General features: G+C 40.0%; 1 protein-coding gene across 7 annotated transcripts in view, besides 1 other annotated feature; it reads left to right on the top strand.

The window, feature by feature from the left end:
• The window catches only part of PRMT9 (protein arginine methyltransferase 9), a 46,379-nt gene that overhangs the window by 27,502 nt on the left and 3,168 nt on the right, over nucleotides 1-15,709 (top strand). For all 7 annotated transcript variants that reach the window (NM_001350143.2, NM_001350144.2, NM_001350141.2 and 4 more), the window contains 2 exons: nucleotides 2,096-2,810; nucleotides 13,722-13,875. In NM_001350143.2, the coding sequence (NP_001337072.1) occupies nucleotides 2,096-2,810; nucleotides 13,722-13,875 (869 nt within the window). The remainder of the gene's footprint in view (nucleotides 1-2,095; nucleotides 2,811-13,721; nucleotides 13,876-15,709) is intronic.
• Nucleotides 505-1,163: an enhancer, noted in NCBI's record as "NANOG hESC enhancer chr4:148576650-148577308 (GRCh37/hg19 assembly coordinates)". NCBI's record gives its function as "activates a minimal SCP1, AML or CMV promoter by ChIP-STARR-seq in naive H9 embryonic stem cells {active_cell/tissue: H9 hESC(naive)}" and the evidence as "EXISTENCE:reporter gene assay evidence [ECO:0000049][PMID:30033119]".

Genomic DNA, 15,709 nt, shown 5'->3' with positions numbered 1-15,709 from the left:
TATATGGGACTACAGGTGCATGCCACCACGCCCAGCTAATTTTTTGTATTTTTAGTAGAGACATGGTTTCACTGTGTTAGCCAGGATGGTCTCGATCTCCTGACCTCTTGATCCATCCACTTCAGCCTCCCAAAGTGCTGGCATTACAGGTGTGAGCCACCGTGCCCGGCTGCAAGACCTCATTTCTACAAAATGAAAAAATTTAGCTGGGGATGGTGGCAAGTGCTTGTAGTCCCAGCTACTTGGGGCACTGAGGAAGAAGGATCGCTTGAGTCCAGGAGGCTGAGCCTGCAGTGAGCCAAGATTATAACACTGCACTCCAGCCTGGGCAACAGAGGGACATCCTGACACACACACACACGCACACACACAGAAAAACTCTACCCTTCTTAAACTGGAAGTTAATACATCTATTTCTGTTTAGTTTCTTAATCAAGGATCTAATTTGGCAAGGTCATAAAGGCCTGGAATCAGTATATTGTTGTAGCCAGTATGTTGTTTTTGGAGTTAGGTAGATTTGGATTCAGTTCTTGTCTCTGCTACTTACTCATTCCTTCCTGGCCATCCTTGCCACTTGTTTCTCAGAGCTTTTGTTGTATCATATATAAAAACGGGATGATACCATTTATCTTGCAGCACTGTTATAGGGATTCTTAGAGATAGTGGGTATAAAATGCCGACCACAGTGACTGGCACTCAGTGAATGACATTTTTTACTTGTGTTTATTCTAACTCTCTTATACCTGTAGTAACTTAGACAGATGATCTTTTGTTTTTTAAACCTTCTTAGAGAAAGGACATTTACATGTTTAAGCATAAGAATAGCAATTTATGGCTGGGCTTAGTGGCTTATGCCTGTAATCCTAGCACTTTGGTATCCTCCTGCTGAGGTAGGAGGATTGCTGGAGTTCAGGAGTTTGAGACCAGCCTGGTCTCTACTAAAAATATTTAAAAATTCAGGCATGATGGTGAGCGCCTGTAGTCCCAGCTATTCTGGAGGCTGAGGTGGGGAGGATAGCTTGAGCCCTGAGATTGAGGCCACAGTGATCATACCACTGCACTCCCGCCTAGGCAACAAAGCAAGACACTGTCTCCAAAAAACCCAAAAAAGTATAACAATTTGTATTTTCAACTGGTTCCAGGGTTAATGAGAAGGAATTGCGATTATACATTTACATTTTAAAATTTTACCACATGTAGGCCAGGCACAGTGGCTCACGCCTGTAATCCCAACACATTGGAAGGCTGAGGCAAGAGGAACACTTGAGCCCAGGAGTTCAAGACCAGCCTGGGTAAAATAGCAAGACCTCATCTCTATTTAAAAAAAAAAAAATAGCTGGGCCTGGTGGCATGTATCCGTAGTCTCAGCTACTTGGGAGACTGAGGCAGGAGGATCACTTGAGCCCAGGAGTTGGAGGCTGCAGGGGACCATGTTACACCACTGCATCCCAGCCTGGGTGACAGAGTGAGATCTTGTCTCAAAAGACAAAACAAACAAAAGTTTTCCCATATATGAAGGGAGTATCATATGGTCTTTATTGTAGGACTTGGTTCTTCCTTATACTTTGAAGTTCCTAGACATGCAAGAATGTCTAAAATACTTACAGTTAACAAATATAACTGATACGATTCTGTTGAATGTTACCTTGTTCTTTTGGACATTTCTCTTAAAGAATGTCCCTTTAAGCTAAAGTGAGGTTTGATATTTATCCCTGAATTTTATCTTTGTTGTTGTTAGCCTTTATTACCAAAGATGATAGAGTCCCCTGCAGTACTCCACCAACACCCCAATTTGGGGATATGGAGAGACCTAGTGATGGCATTAAAAACATTATCATACTGATAGTCTCAGAGTCAATAATGGAGCTCTCAAATGTCTCCATTATGCTACTGGTTAATTGAGTATTCAAATTTCAGTTTTTCCCTAAGTAAATCTGGTAGAGTTTTCCTAGTTTTTTGTATATTAAATGAGTATTTGTAATCCTTTCTATAGTGATCTAAAGAATGGGGGGCTAGATGGAGGATGGAGATGTTTATGTGATCCTCTGGCTTATAAGTACTCCATATTTTTTTTCTTCCTTACTATTTAATGAAGACTACTGGATAAAGCCTGGAGACCATGTGATGATGGAAGTATCTTGTCAAGACTGTTACTTAAGAATCCAGAGTATTAGTGTCTTGGGTTTGGAATGTGAAATGGATGTTGCAAAAAGTTTTACCCAGAATAAAGACTTGTTATCGTTAGGAAATGAGGCTGAACTTTGTAGTGCCCTCGCTAACCTTCAGACCAGTAAACCAGATGCTGTAGAGCAGACATGTATATTGGAATCTACAGAAATTGCTTTGCTTAACAACATCCCATATCATGAAGGCTTTAAAATGGCAATGAGCAAAGTTTTGTCTTCACTGACTCCAGAGAAACTGTATCAGACCATGGATACTCACTGTCAGAATGAGATGAGCTCTGGAACTGGACAGAGTAATACTGTACAGAACATCCTTGAACCTTTCTACGTGTTAGATGTGTCCGAAGGCTTCTCTGTTCTGCCTGTTATTGCTGGCACACTTGGGCAGGTTAAACCATACAGTTCTGTGGAGAAAGACCAGCATCGTATTGCTCTGGACCTCATATCTGAAGCCAATCACTTTCCTAAAGAAACACTTGAGTTTTGGCTGAGACATGTGGAGGATGAATCTGCTATGTTACAAAGGCCAAAATCAGACAAGTTATGGAGCATAATTATATTGGATGTCATTGAGCCATCTGGGCTCATTCAGCAGGAAATAATGGAAAAAGCTGCAATATCCAGGTAAAACACAAAATAATAACTTTTGGCTTTGTTTTTTTTTTGAGGTCAGATTTTATGTAAATTCCTTAAGTTCTTTAATCGCTTAACTGTAAAAATAAGTCAAGATCACTGTATGCTCCTCAAGCATTACTTTTCAGGACGTGTGACTTCATTTGCTGCTAAAATCATCGCTGGTTTGGCCAGTGGGAGGTCCTCTAAACTAGTTCCTGTGTCTTTTTGACACGTTCCCATAATTCTTTAAGCATGTTCTTACTTTGGTGCAACCAGATGTTTTACTTTCATCTTGAATTTTTCTCAACCCCAGCCTTAGGATTAGTCTTTCTCCAAGGGACTCTGGTTCCTTTTGGTTCCTTTTAGTGGAGAACCATATTTTGAAACCAAGATATATATATATATATTTTTTTTTTTTAAGACGGAGTTTCGCTCTTGCTGCCCAGGCTGGAGTGTAATGGCTCAATCTCGGCTCACTGCAACCTCCGCCTCCTGGGTTCAAACGATTCTCCTGCCTCAGCTTCCCAAGTAGCTAGGATTACAGGCACACCCCACCAGCTAATTTTGTATTTTTAGTAGAGACGGGGTTTCACCATGTTGGTCAGGCTGGTTTTGAACGCCTGACCTCAAGTGATCCACACCCCCTTGACCTCCCAAAGTGCTGGGATTATAGGCATGAGCCACCATGCCCGGCTGAAACCAAGATCTTAATGATAGGTCTGTATGCTTATTGCTACTGGTCATTGCTTTTAGGCTCTCTGAGTTGAAAAGGCTAGGAAGAGGATGTGTGTGTTTTTGTGTGCATGTACACACGCATGAATCCATATATGTGTGCACAATCACACATACAGGTATTTTTAATTTATCTATTTATATAAAATCATGAGTGAATACTGATACCTTCAGTTCTAATCCACTATCACATGGTACATTATAGTGTTCCCTTTTTTCATATTTATATTCTTTCTCCAGCAATAACAGCCTGGCTCTCACTAACATGAATATACTTACTCATTTGCTCATAGGGAGAATCCACATAACATTGTTTCAAACTTGGTAACACATACTACTGTGGAAAGCAAAACTACCAACGAGAGTTCAGTATTAGTTTATAGATTTTTTTTTTTTGTTTTTTCGTTTTTTTTTTTTAGACACGGGGTAGGGTAGAATGGGGTCTGGTGGGATGGGGTGGGGATAGGGTGGGGTTGTGGTGGTTCTCACTGTGCTGCCCAGGCTGGTCTTGAACTCCTGGGCTCAAGTGATTTTTCCACTTCAGCCTCCTGAGTAGCTAGGGTTACAGGCATGTGCCACTGCTTATAGGTTCATAGGTTTTAAAGTATACATACTGATGAAATCCTATGTGTACAATTAGGTAAGTTTTGATAATTAAGTGATTTTTTTTTTTTGTTTGAGATGGAGTCTCGCCCTGTCGCCAGGCTGGAGTGCAGCGGCGTGATCTCAGCTAATTGAGTGATTTTTATCAAAAAGTTTGTTTTTGAAATTGCCTTCATAACAATACATTGATTAGGAGAAACAGCAGTGGCAAAGGTGGTTTTATTTATTATTTTTTATTTTTTGGTAAATAGCCAGAAATTTTGTGGAGGCCTTTTTATAATGTCATTATTCAAATTTGGTAAGTTCAGTTTTTTTTAAATTAATTAAATTAGAAAGTAAAGAAATTGGTTAAATTAGTACCAAAGATGTATTTCAGACATGTTTTGAATAATGGACCATTTTGGGGATCTTCTTTTGTTTTTGTTTTTGTAGTTGCAGTGTGACTGTTGAGAATGGTGACACATGAATTTGCAAATTCTTCTATGTGTGCGAAAAAATTCAGTATAATCACTTTATAGCCACATTTTATTTTATTAAAAATTGTTTTGAAATTATGATAAAATATTCCTAAAATTTAGTCAGTCATTTTTCACTTCATTAGTGTGAAGTATATTCACCTCGTTACATAAATTATCTCCAGAGCTCTTTCATATTGTAAAACACTCTATACTGAATAAATGACAATTTCCCATACTCCCCTCCCACCCTGGGTCCTGGCATCCAGCAATCTACTTTCTGTTTCTATGAGTTTAACTAACTCTTGAGACCTCAAACAAGTGAAATCATACAGTATTTATTTTTCCTTTTCTGACTGGGTTGTTTCACTTAGCATAATGTCTTCAAGGTTCATCCATGTTGTAGTATGTGTCAGGATTTACTAATGATTAGTGATGTTGAGCATCTTTTCATACACTTTTTGACCATTTGTACATAGTTTGGAGAAATATCTATTCAAGTCTTGCCCATTTTTTAACCGGGTTATTTTGTTATTGAGTTGTAGGAGTTATTTCTGTATTCTGGATACTAACCCCTTATTTCATGTATGATTTGTAAATATTTTTTTCCCACTTCATAGGTTGCCTTTTCACTCTTTTGATCATTTCCTTTGATGTGCAAAAGTTTTAAAATTTGATTTAGTCCTATTTGTCTACTTTTGCTTTGGTTGCAAAACAGCTTTTGATATCATATCCAAGAAATCATTGCTGAATCCAGTGTCCTCAAGCTTTTCTCCTGTATTGTCTTTCAGAAGTTCTATAGTTTAAGGTCTTATATTCAGTTGTTTAATCCATTTTGAGTTAATTTTTGTATATGGTGTATATAAAAATATACATGTTTTTGTATATTTTGGAAAACATATTTCGGATATGTTTTCTGAACATAATTTGTGGGTTTATTTATATGGTCTCTTGTTTCTTTTTTTTTTGAGATGGAGTCTCACTCTTTTGTCCAGGCCAGACTGCAGTGGCGCTATCTCACCTCACTGCAAGCTCCACCTCCTGGGTTCAAGGGGATTCTCCTGCCTCAGCCTCCCGAGTAGCTGGGACTACAGGCGCATGCCACCACAGCTGGCTAATTTTTTGTATTTTTAATAGAGACGGGGTTTCACCGTGTTAGCCAGGATGGTCTCGATCTCCTGACCTTGTGATCTGCCCGCCTTGGCCTCCCAAAGTGCTGGGATTACAGGCATGAGCCACCGTGCCCGCCTTGGGCTCTTGTTTCTAGTTCCGTTGGTCTGTATGTCTGTCTTTATACCAGTACCATACCACAGTCTTGATTGCTGTTGCTTTGTAGTTTGTTTAAGGTCAGGAAGTGTGAGGCCTCCAACTTTGTTCTTTTTCAAGACTGTCTTGGCGGTTTACAGTTCTTTGAGATTCCATATAAATTTTAGGGTAAATTTTTCTGTTTCTACAAAAAACACTCTTGGGGTTTTGATATGGATTGCAGGTGTTCCCATCCATGAACACAGTGTGCCTTTCCATTCATCTGTGTCTTTAAATTTTTTTTTAAGCTATGTTTTATAGTTTTCAGTGTACAAACAAGTCTTTTGCCTAAGTATTCCTAGGTAGGTTTATTCCTAAGTATTTTATTTTTTAGATGCTATTATAAATGGATTCTTTTCTTAATTTTCTATTTAGCTTAGCCTTTGCTAGTACATGCAAATGCAGCTGATTTTTGCATGTTTATTTTGTATCCCATAATTTTGCTGAAGTCATTTATGAGTTGTAACAGGTTTTTGTTGTTGTTTTTCTTTAGAGTTTTCTATATATGACATATCATCTATGAATAGAGATAATTATACTTCTTCCTTTCCAATTTGGATATGTTATTTTTTCTTGTGTAATTTCTCTGGTGAGGACTTCCAGTACTGTGTTGAACAGAAGTGGAAAGAGTGGGCATCTTTCCCTTGTATCTGATCTTAGGAGAAAAGCTGTCAGTCTTTAAGTGTGGTGATGTTAACATGATAGTTGTGGGCTTTTCATATATGGCTTTTATTATGTTGAGGTAGTTTCCTTCTATTCCTAGTTTGTTGAATGCTTTTATAATGAAAGTGTGATTTTTGTCAAATGCTTTTTCTGCGTCCATTGAGATGATCATGTGGTCTTCATTCTGTTAATGTGATGTATTGTAGTAACTGGGCTCCTGCCTTGGCTTCCCAGAGTGTTGGGATTACAGGTGTGAGCCACTGTGCCTGGCCTGCAGTTGTTTTTAAATGTTCATTCTTGCTGGATGCGGTGGCTCATGCCTGTAATGCCAGCACTTTGGGAGGCCAAGGCGGGCGGATCACCTGAGGTCTGGAGTTTGAGACCAGCCTGACCAACATGGAGAAACCCCGTTTCTACTAAAAATAAAAAAAACGTAGCCAAGCGTGGTGGCGCATGCCTGTAATCCCAGCTACTTGGGAGGCTGAGGCAGGAGAATCGCTTGAACCCTGGAGGCAGAGGTTGCTGTTAGCTGAGATCGCGCCATTGCACTCCAGCTCTGGGCAACAAGAGTGAAACTCCATCTCAAAAAAAAAAAAGTTCATTCTTAAGTTCTATTCACTCATGCTAGTTTAAAATACAGATGAAAGCTTGAAGGTTTGGTAAGCTCTTTCGTTTTTTGTTTTTTTAAAAAACCATGGCTATGGTTTGAGTGTCTCCTCCAAAGCTCATGGGTTGGAAAGTTAATCCTCAGTGCAACAGTGTTAAGAGGTGTGATATTTAAGGGGGGATGAGGTCAGGAGGGCTCTGCCCTCATTAGTGAATTAAGGCCATTATCATGGGAGTGGGTTTTTTTTACAGGATGAGGTCAGCCCTCTTTCCCTTTCTCTCTCTCTCCCTCTTCTCTCTCTCTCTCCCTCTTCTCTCTCTCCCCCTCTTCTCTCTCTCTCTCTCTGCCCTCTGCCATGAACAGTCAGCCAAATAAGTTTCTGTTCTTTATAAATTACCCAGTCTGTTGTAGTTTGTTAGACTTTTGAGTTACAACGTTATTTTTTTCATTGCTGAAGGCATGGATGGTTCTGAAGTATCATTTAGCTTTGCAAAAGATTTCTGAGGAGCCTAGCAGTTGCAGTAATGTAAGTAACAACAAAACACTTAATGTTAGTAAAGATAAGCAGAGTTTCAAGGCAATGGTCATTTTATCTGAACATAGCTAAGATCTGACACTATCTTTTAGCCCCCAACCTAAGGGTAGGGAGGGGGCCTTAGTCACCATTCATCTCATTCACATACATAAGTTGAGTTGCAAGGATAATAACAGAGAAAAAAAAAATTGCAAGCATACATAACAGACAACTAAACTGATTATCACTTAGTTGATAGTGTCAGGTCCCACAGGTTGAGGGCTCAGTTCCACAGACTGCCCCCTACTTCAGATGCCAGTTACAAGTATGTCACTTGTACTTCTTACAGGCTGTAAATCGGAAGTTCCTGAGACCACCTCTTCGAGTTCCATTACTTTGCTAGAGTGGTTCACAGAACTCAGGGAAACACTTTACTTATGTTTGCCCATTTCATTTATTATGAAGGATATTACAAAGGATACAGATGAAGAGCCAGATGAAGAGATGCATAGAGTAAGCATGTGGGAAGTGGCATGGGGCTTCCATGCCCTCTCTGGGCACCCTCTAGGAACCTCCATGTGTTCAGCTACCTGGAAGCTCTCTGAACCTTGTCTTTCTGGGTTTTTATGGAAGCTTTGTTATGTAGGCATGACTGATTACATCATTGGCTATTAGTGATCAACTCAACCTTCAGTGTGTCTCCTCTCTCTGGAGGCTAGTGGGTTGGATGGAAAGTCCCAATCCTCTAATCTTGCCATGGTCTTTTAGCCCCCAACCTAGGGCTAGGTAGGGGCCCTTAGTCATCATTTATCTCATTAGCATACAGAAGATACTCTTACCATTCTGTAGGTTCCAAGGGTGTTAGGAGTTCTGGGGCAGGAAACAAGATGAAGACCAGATATATATGTATCTTATTATAATCACAATATCATATTTGCCCTATGTATACTTTATATTCGGCTATTCCTGAGTTGTATCCTTTGTAATAAATCCGTAAATATAAGTAAAGTGTTTTTCTGAGTTCTGTGAGCCATTCTGGCAAATTATTGAACTCAAAGAGGACATTGTGGGAACCCTTGATTTGTTACAGCCTGATGGGTTCTTCTTACCCACTGCCCAGAAAAGCCAATACAGTGAGAACAGCAGGAGTTGCAGTAGGGAAAGTTTAGGTGGGTTCATGCCTGTAATCCCAGCACTTTGGGAGGCCGAGGTGGGTGGATCACTTGAGGTCAGGAGTTTGAGACTAGCCTGGCCAACATGGTGAAACCCCGTCTCTACTAAAAATACAAAAATTAGCTGGGAATGGTGATGTGTGCCTGTAATCCCAGCTGCTCAGGAGGCTGAGGCAGAAGAATCGCCTGAACTTGGGAGGCAGAGGTTGCAGTGAGCTGAGATTGTACCACTGCACTCCAGCCTGGGCAACAGAGTGAGACTCCGTCTCAAAAAAAAAAAAAAAGAAAAGTGTAATTATCACAAGGCAGGCAAGTGGAAGAATGGGACATGTTTTTCGAATCCACCTCCCTGAGAACTCAGAGGCTAGTTTTAAAAGATAATTTGGTGGACTGGTGGCTAGGGAATGGATACTGCTGATTGGTTGGGGATGAAATCATAGGGATGTCAAAAACGATCTTCCTGTGCTGAGTCAACTTTCTGGGTGGGAGTCATAGAAGTATTTGAGTCTGAAAAATGTCTCAAAGACCAATCTTAGGTTTTACAATACTGATGTTATCTATAGGAGCAATTGGGGCAGTTATACATCTTGTGACCTCTGGCACCATGATTCCTGAGCAGTAGGGCATTATAGAAAAACAAGCTAGGGTACAATGACTGGGTATCATTTAACTGTGCCTACATTTTAGCAGAATTCAGGCTCCTCCCATAATCCTAACCTTGTGGCCTTTCCTTAGTTTTACAGTGGCTGTTTTGGTCCCTGAACAAGGAGGGGGTTCATTTCAGGAAGGGACTATTACCATCCGTGCTTTAAAGTTAAACTATAAACTAAAATTTCTCCCACAGTTAGCTTACCCTATGCCTGGGTCCGTCAGTTTGTGAGGTTAGAAGCAAGATGGAGTGAGCTATGTTAGATTTCTTGCACTGCCATAATTTTTGCAAAGGTGGTTTCAGATTTATAGATGGCCAAAAGTACTAGGACCTACAATTGGCATCAGAACTGGGGGCATTCATGTGGGACTGAGCTTTTATAGCACCTGATGCTAACTCCAGGTAGTGTCAGAATTGATTTGAATTGTAGTACACTCAAAAGGTGTCTGAGAATTTTTTTGGGGTGGGAACCTCCTCCCTGCACCCCCCTCCCCCCCCTCCCCAGCCCACCACCACTTTGTGTCAGAAGTTTTATTTTTATTTTTTTTAGGCAGGCTCTTACTCTGTCACCCAGGCTGGAGTGCAGTGGCATGATCATGGCTCACTGCAGCCTTGACTTCCTGGGCTCAACCTATGTTTTATAAATAGAAATGGTTCCTAAGACTACCTAAGTGACTCACATGGTATCGTTCTCCAACTCTCTTTCTCCCATAGATTACATAGCTACAAGGTTAGCTTTTATTAACCTGTGTGCTTTTTTAGCTTGCTAATTTCATAGAATGATACCTCTTTGGCTATTTGGGGAGTGGAGGGTTGTTAGTCAAGCAACATAAAGTTCTGTGGCTAGTCTCTCCTTTCAGAGACCTTTGTGATCTTGAAGAAAATTAGATCTGATCTTCACTTAAATGGATCACAGTTAGCAGATAACTTCAGTTGTTCAGATAATAACATGAGTTTTCAGGATTAAACTTGATCCTTTTGAGGAAAAAAGATTTTTCCAGTGATTTGGGAAGACATAAAATTTTAGCCAGTTTGGTAAAGGCATAGATTGCAATTTGGTTAAGAGCTGTGCAATCTTATTAAGATGTGTGAAATTTCACTAACTGTGGAGACTGAATTTCTACCAGACTACCTATTATGACAAAAAGTTGATAGGAAAGGAATAGCAACAATGAGTAAAGCACTGGGGTCAGGGTGGAGTCCATTTTTAGGCTAATTTATGAATATAGGATTTATTACAACTCAGAAGGATCATGTCGTTACATTTAGTGGGTAAAGAGAGATTATCCTGGTTCAGGAACATGACTTATCTTTATCAGTCTGGTGCCATTACACTTAGGAGTCATCTCTAACTTTCCTTGCTGAATCTGTGCTCCTCACATCACGGCTGGGGATATGGCTTCCGGTTAGCTTGTCTTTAGGAGAGAGTGAGCTGTTACAAGAGCAGACTGTTTCCTTGTTAACTTTTCCTCAAATGTATTATTTTGAAAATTTTCAAACTTAGGAAAAATTGCAAGAATAATAACAGAGAACACTAGATTATTGTTTAGTTTACTGAACCATTTGATAGTTGATTGCTGGCATCATAAACTTCATATTTTCTTTAGTATTTAGCATGTGTTTCCTAAGAACAAATGTTTTCCCCTACATATCACAATAAAATTATCACTCAGGATATTTCACATTGATAAAACACTATTATATAATATATAGTGCATATTAAAATTTTCCATTACCCCAGTAATATTCTTCATTGCTTTTCTTCCCAGTCTAGTTCTAATCAAGAGTCTTACATTGCATTTAGTTGCCATGTCTTGTCATTATAATTTAATTGTCCTTGCTTTAGATATCTTTTAAGTGGTTATAAAATTGAGATAATCAGTTTAGTAAGAGACCAGAGAATTAATTTAAATCTAATTCAAGAGCAGTAGTGCCAAAGTAGTTTTGAGGAATGGGGTGTTTTATAGCTTAGCTTGTTTAGGTTTTAATGATCTATTTAGGGAGACTACATAGTATATAATTTTGGAAATGTATATGAATTACTTTTTAAGATATGAAAAAATGTGTTGGTGAAATGTTTAGTTCTGTATTTTTATAAGTGGATTCTTACTCTATTTAACTTAGGAGTAAAAACATACTGTGAAATGTACATATGATAATATAAAGTTCACCTGCCTAGTATCCTGTTCTAGAAATTCAAGTAGGAACAAGCTTGGAATATTCAGTAAAAATGTAGATTTGACATTTGATTGTAAATGTGGCAAATGAAAATAATTATTTGGTTTAAAGTATCCTCCACCTCCATTTCACTGGATGTCAGTAGGTGGCCCACCCACCCTTCTCTCCCTTCACACATAGCACATAGCTCAGGTGTGAGGAAACAAGATTACATAGGTAGGTGTGGAAGCTGCCTTGACTTAACAGCCCTTAGCTTCATATAGCAACTCTTCTCCCATGGGCACAGCTTCCACGGCCTAGCAATATGAACACCTGGTTACACTCTCAGGGAAGCCCACATGTGGTATGGGTTCCCGTCAGGCATTTATCCTTTGTTCGTAGTTCTCTCCATCCAGATATAGTCTACCTATTAAGAGGCATTCTTTTTTTTTTTTTTTTTTTTTAACCATAAGCAGTGTTCCTGATAAACACAGCTGACATTCTATTCTTATAAGATTTTCAGGGAAAGAGAAGGTAAACCCAAGGTCAACGTAGGAAGAGAAAGGATTTTGTTAACCCTTGACTCTCTCTCCTCCAGTATTAGAGTATTTGGACTTTTTTTTTTTTTTTAAATTTTGCATTTGGAGTGTGTAACCTTTTATTTTGAAATAATTTTTAAGCCTTTGGAGAAGTTAAAGAATAATACAAAGAACTTACCATATACCTTACACTCAGTAATAGTAATACACTATTACTATTTTGCCACATCTGCTAAATTGTTCAGGAAAAAACATTTCAGGCTCTTTCCCTGAACCATAGATACAATGTGTCTTTACTCCTAATACCTTGGAATGCATAGGACATTCACTGATATAATCACTGTACAATTATTAAAATCAGGAAATTTACAGGGACACAATACTGTTATCTAAGCTACAAATCTTATCCAGATTTCACCAGTTGTCACAATAATGTCCTTTGTAGCTTTTTTGTTTCTGGTCTGGAATCCAATCCAGGATCATATATTCCATTTAGTTTTCATGTCTCTTTAGTGGTGCAGTCACTGTCACTGCAATGTGGACCTCCTGGGCTCAAGCGATCCTCCCATCTCAGCCTGTTGAGTAGCTGGGACTACAGGTGTGCACCACCACACCTGGCTAGTTTATTTATTTGTAGAGATGGGGTCTTGCTATGTTGCCCAGGCAGGGGTTGAAGTCCTGGGCTCAAGCAATCCTCTCACCTTGGCCTCCCAAAGTATTGGGATTATAGGCATCAGCCACCATGCCCAGCCTGTCCCATTGTTTTTGATGTTAATACAATCACATGGTTTAAGTTGTATCTACACATTTCTCCATTCAGTAAGTTACTGTTTCCCCCTTTGTGATAAGTCATTTTTGGGGGTGATACTTGGAGACTGTAAAAGGATATTTTCCTAATCAAACTTTGACCTACTAGTTTTAGCATCCATTGATGACTCTTTCCTGAATCTAAAGACGTGTGTCCATTTAAATAGCTAACCTGTCATTTTTCTCTTTCACTGATCAGTAGTTACTTTGACTTGGGAAATTATTTCTAGTGGTTTACTATTCTGAAATACCAGCCATGAATAACAGAAAGTCCATTAGACTCTATGTAATCTGTAGCTCTTTACTAATTTATCATGATTCTTAGTTACTGATGTTTATACAATGTAGGGGATTACAAAGGGTTTTTTTTTGTTTTATTTTATGATTTTTTGAGACAGAGTCTCACTCTGTCACCCAGGCTATAGTGCAGTGGCGGGATGTTGGTTCACTGCAACTGCTACCTCTTGGATTCAAGCAGTCCTCCTGCCTCAGCCTCCCAAGTAGGTGGAACTACAGGTGCATGCCACCTGTGGATCTAGTTGGCTAGTTTTTGTATTTTTTGTAGAGATGAGGTTTCGCCATGTTGCCCAGGCTGGTCTTGAACTCTTGGGCTTAAGTGATCCACCCACCTTGGCCTCCCAAAGTGCTAGGATTACAGGCGTGAGCCACTGTCGCCCTGCCCCAAGAGCTTTTTAAAATATGTACTTTTTTTCTTAGGTGTTTACTACAATCTGGAGGCAAGATCTTTCCTCAGTATGTGCTGATGTTTGGGTTGCTTGTGGAATCACAGACACTCCTAGAGGAGAATGCTGTTCAAGGAACAGAACGTACTCTTGGATTAAATATAGCACCTTTTATTAACCAGTTTCAGGTAAGTGTCTAGAGGAGAAGTTCAACCAGGATGCTGTTGAACAGTCTACCATCGCTCTCTCTTTAGTCACTGTTTAATCTAGCTAAACACAGTGACTAAAGTTTAGCTGGATTAATCACAGTGACTTAGATTTTTACCTATAATAAGTTCCTAGAACAAAGGAACTTATTATAGGTAAAAATCAACCTAGAGGTTACAATAACCAAGGAATTTTGTCATGACTGCTGATAAAAGTTTATAGATATTTGGCCAGGTGTGTGGCTCATGCCTGTAATCCCAGCACTTTGGGAGGCCCAGGCGGGTGGATCACTTGAGGTCAGGCGTTCAAGACCAGCCTGGCCAACATGGTGAAATCCCACCTCTACTAAAAATACAAAAAAATTAGCCAGGTGTGGTGGTGCGTGCCTGCAATCCCAGCTCCTCTGGAAACTGAGGTGGGAGAATCGCTTGAACTCAGGAGGCAGGAGTTGCAGTGAGCCGAGATCGTGCCACTGCACTCCAGTCTGGATGACAGAGCGAGACTGCATCTCAAAAAAAAAAAAAGTTTTTAGATACGCCTTCGAATCACTGTCATAAATGGAAGAAGGGTCCTAGGTTTTAATCTTATGAAAAAGAGTGGTCTTTGTCCAAAAAAGATCTATGTTCTAAACTTGAACCCTTACATTGAGACCTCAGGCTGGCAGCTGATAAGTATCAGCAGCTAATGCTCAGATTCTAAGAAATCAGACTGCAGAGAGCAGGAATGCAGGAGCCTAGGAAAACAGAGCTCAAGGAAAAGGGGGTTAGCCTCTGTTTAGGAAATAAGGAGTCAAGACTTAGAAATGGGCTGGGCATGGTGGCTCACACCTGTAGTCCTGGCACTTTGAGAGGCAAAGGTGGGGCGGATTGCTCGAGCTCATAAGTTCAAGACTAGCCTGGGCAACATGGGGAAACCCTGTCTCTACAAAAAATACAAAAATTATCTGGGTGTGGTGGTGCATGCCTGTAGTCCCAGCTACTTGGGAGGCTGAGGTAGGAGAATTGCTTGAGCCTGGGAGGTGGAGGTTGCGGTAAGCTGAAATCACGACACTGCACTCCAGCCTGGGTGATAGAGTAACAAATTTTTACTGAATGTCTACTACATGTACATTTAGATTTGGGGAATAGGGCTATGAAATAAAGAGAGAAGTTTACTCTCTCGTGGATTTAGCATTTACATTGGAAGAGACAATGAACAAGTAAAAAGACTGCTGTGATGGTGAGAAGTGCTGTGGACATAAAGCAGGTTAAGGGAGTGTGGCGTATGGGATATACTATTTTATAAAGGTTACACCTAAGGAAAGGACTCATGGGTAAGTGATAAACAGAGGCCTGAAAGAAATAAGGGAGCAAATCACACAAATCAAAGGATCAGCAAGTGTAAATAGCTAGAGGCAAGATCACGATTGGAGTATCAAAAACAGCAAGAAGCAACCAAGAGGGAGAGTGATGAGAGATGCAGTCAGAGTATTAGGGGCCAGATGTTGACCTTCTGGCCATTTGTAAGGACTGTGGCTTTTGCTCTGAAAGGGGTAGGAAACAACTGGAGGGTATTGAACAGAGGCTTGACATGATGTGACTTATGTTTTGAAGGGCTTGCTGTGGTTGCTGTGTTAGGAATAAAACACTGGTGAGACCAGGCAAAGGCATGAAATTATTGTAGTAATCCAGGTGAGAGGTGTCAGTGGCTTTGACTGGAGTGGTAGCAGTGAAAGTGGTGCAAAAATGGTGAGATCCTCAATATATTTTAAAGGTAGGGCTGGTGTGGTGGCTCATGCCTGAATTCCCAGCACTTTGGGAGGCCAAAGTGGGAGGA

Source organism: Homo sapiens, chromosome 4 (assembly GCF_000001405.40).
Source record: "Homo sapiens chromosome 4, GRCh38.p14 Primary Assembly".
NCBI lineage: Eukaryota > Metazoa > Chordata > Mammalia > Primates > Hominidae > Homo > Homo sapiens.
The sequence above is the reverse complement of the archived record's forward strand: the minus strand, read 5'-3'. Positions and strand labels throughout refer to the sequence as shown.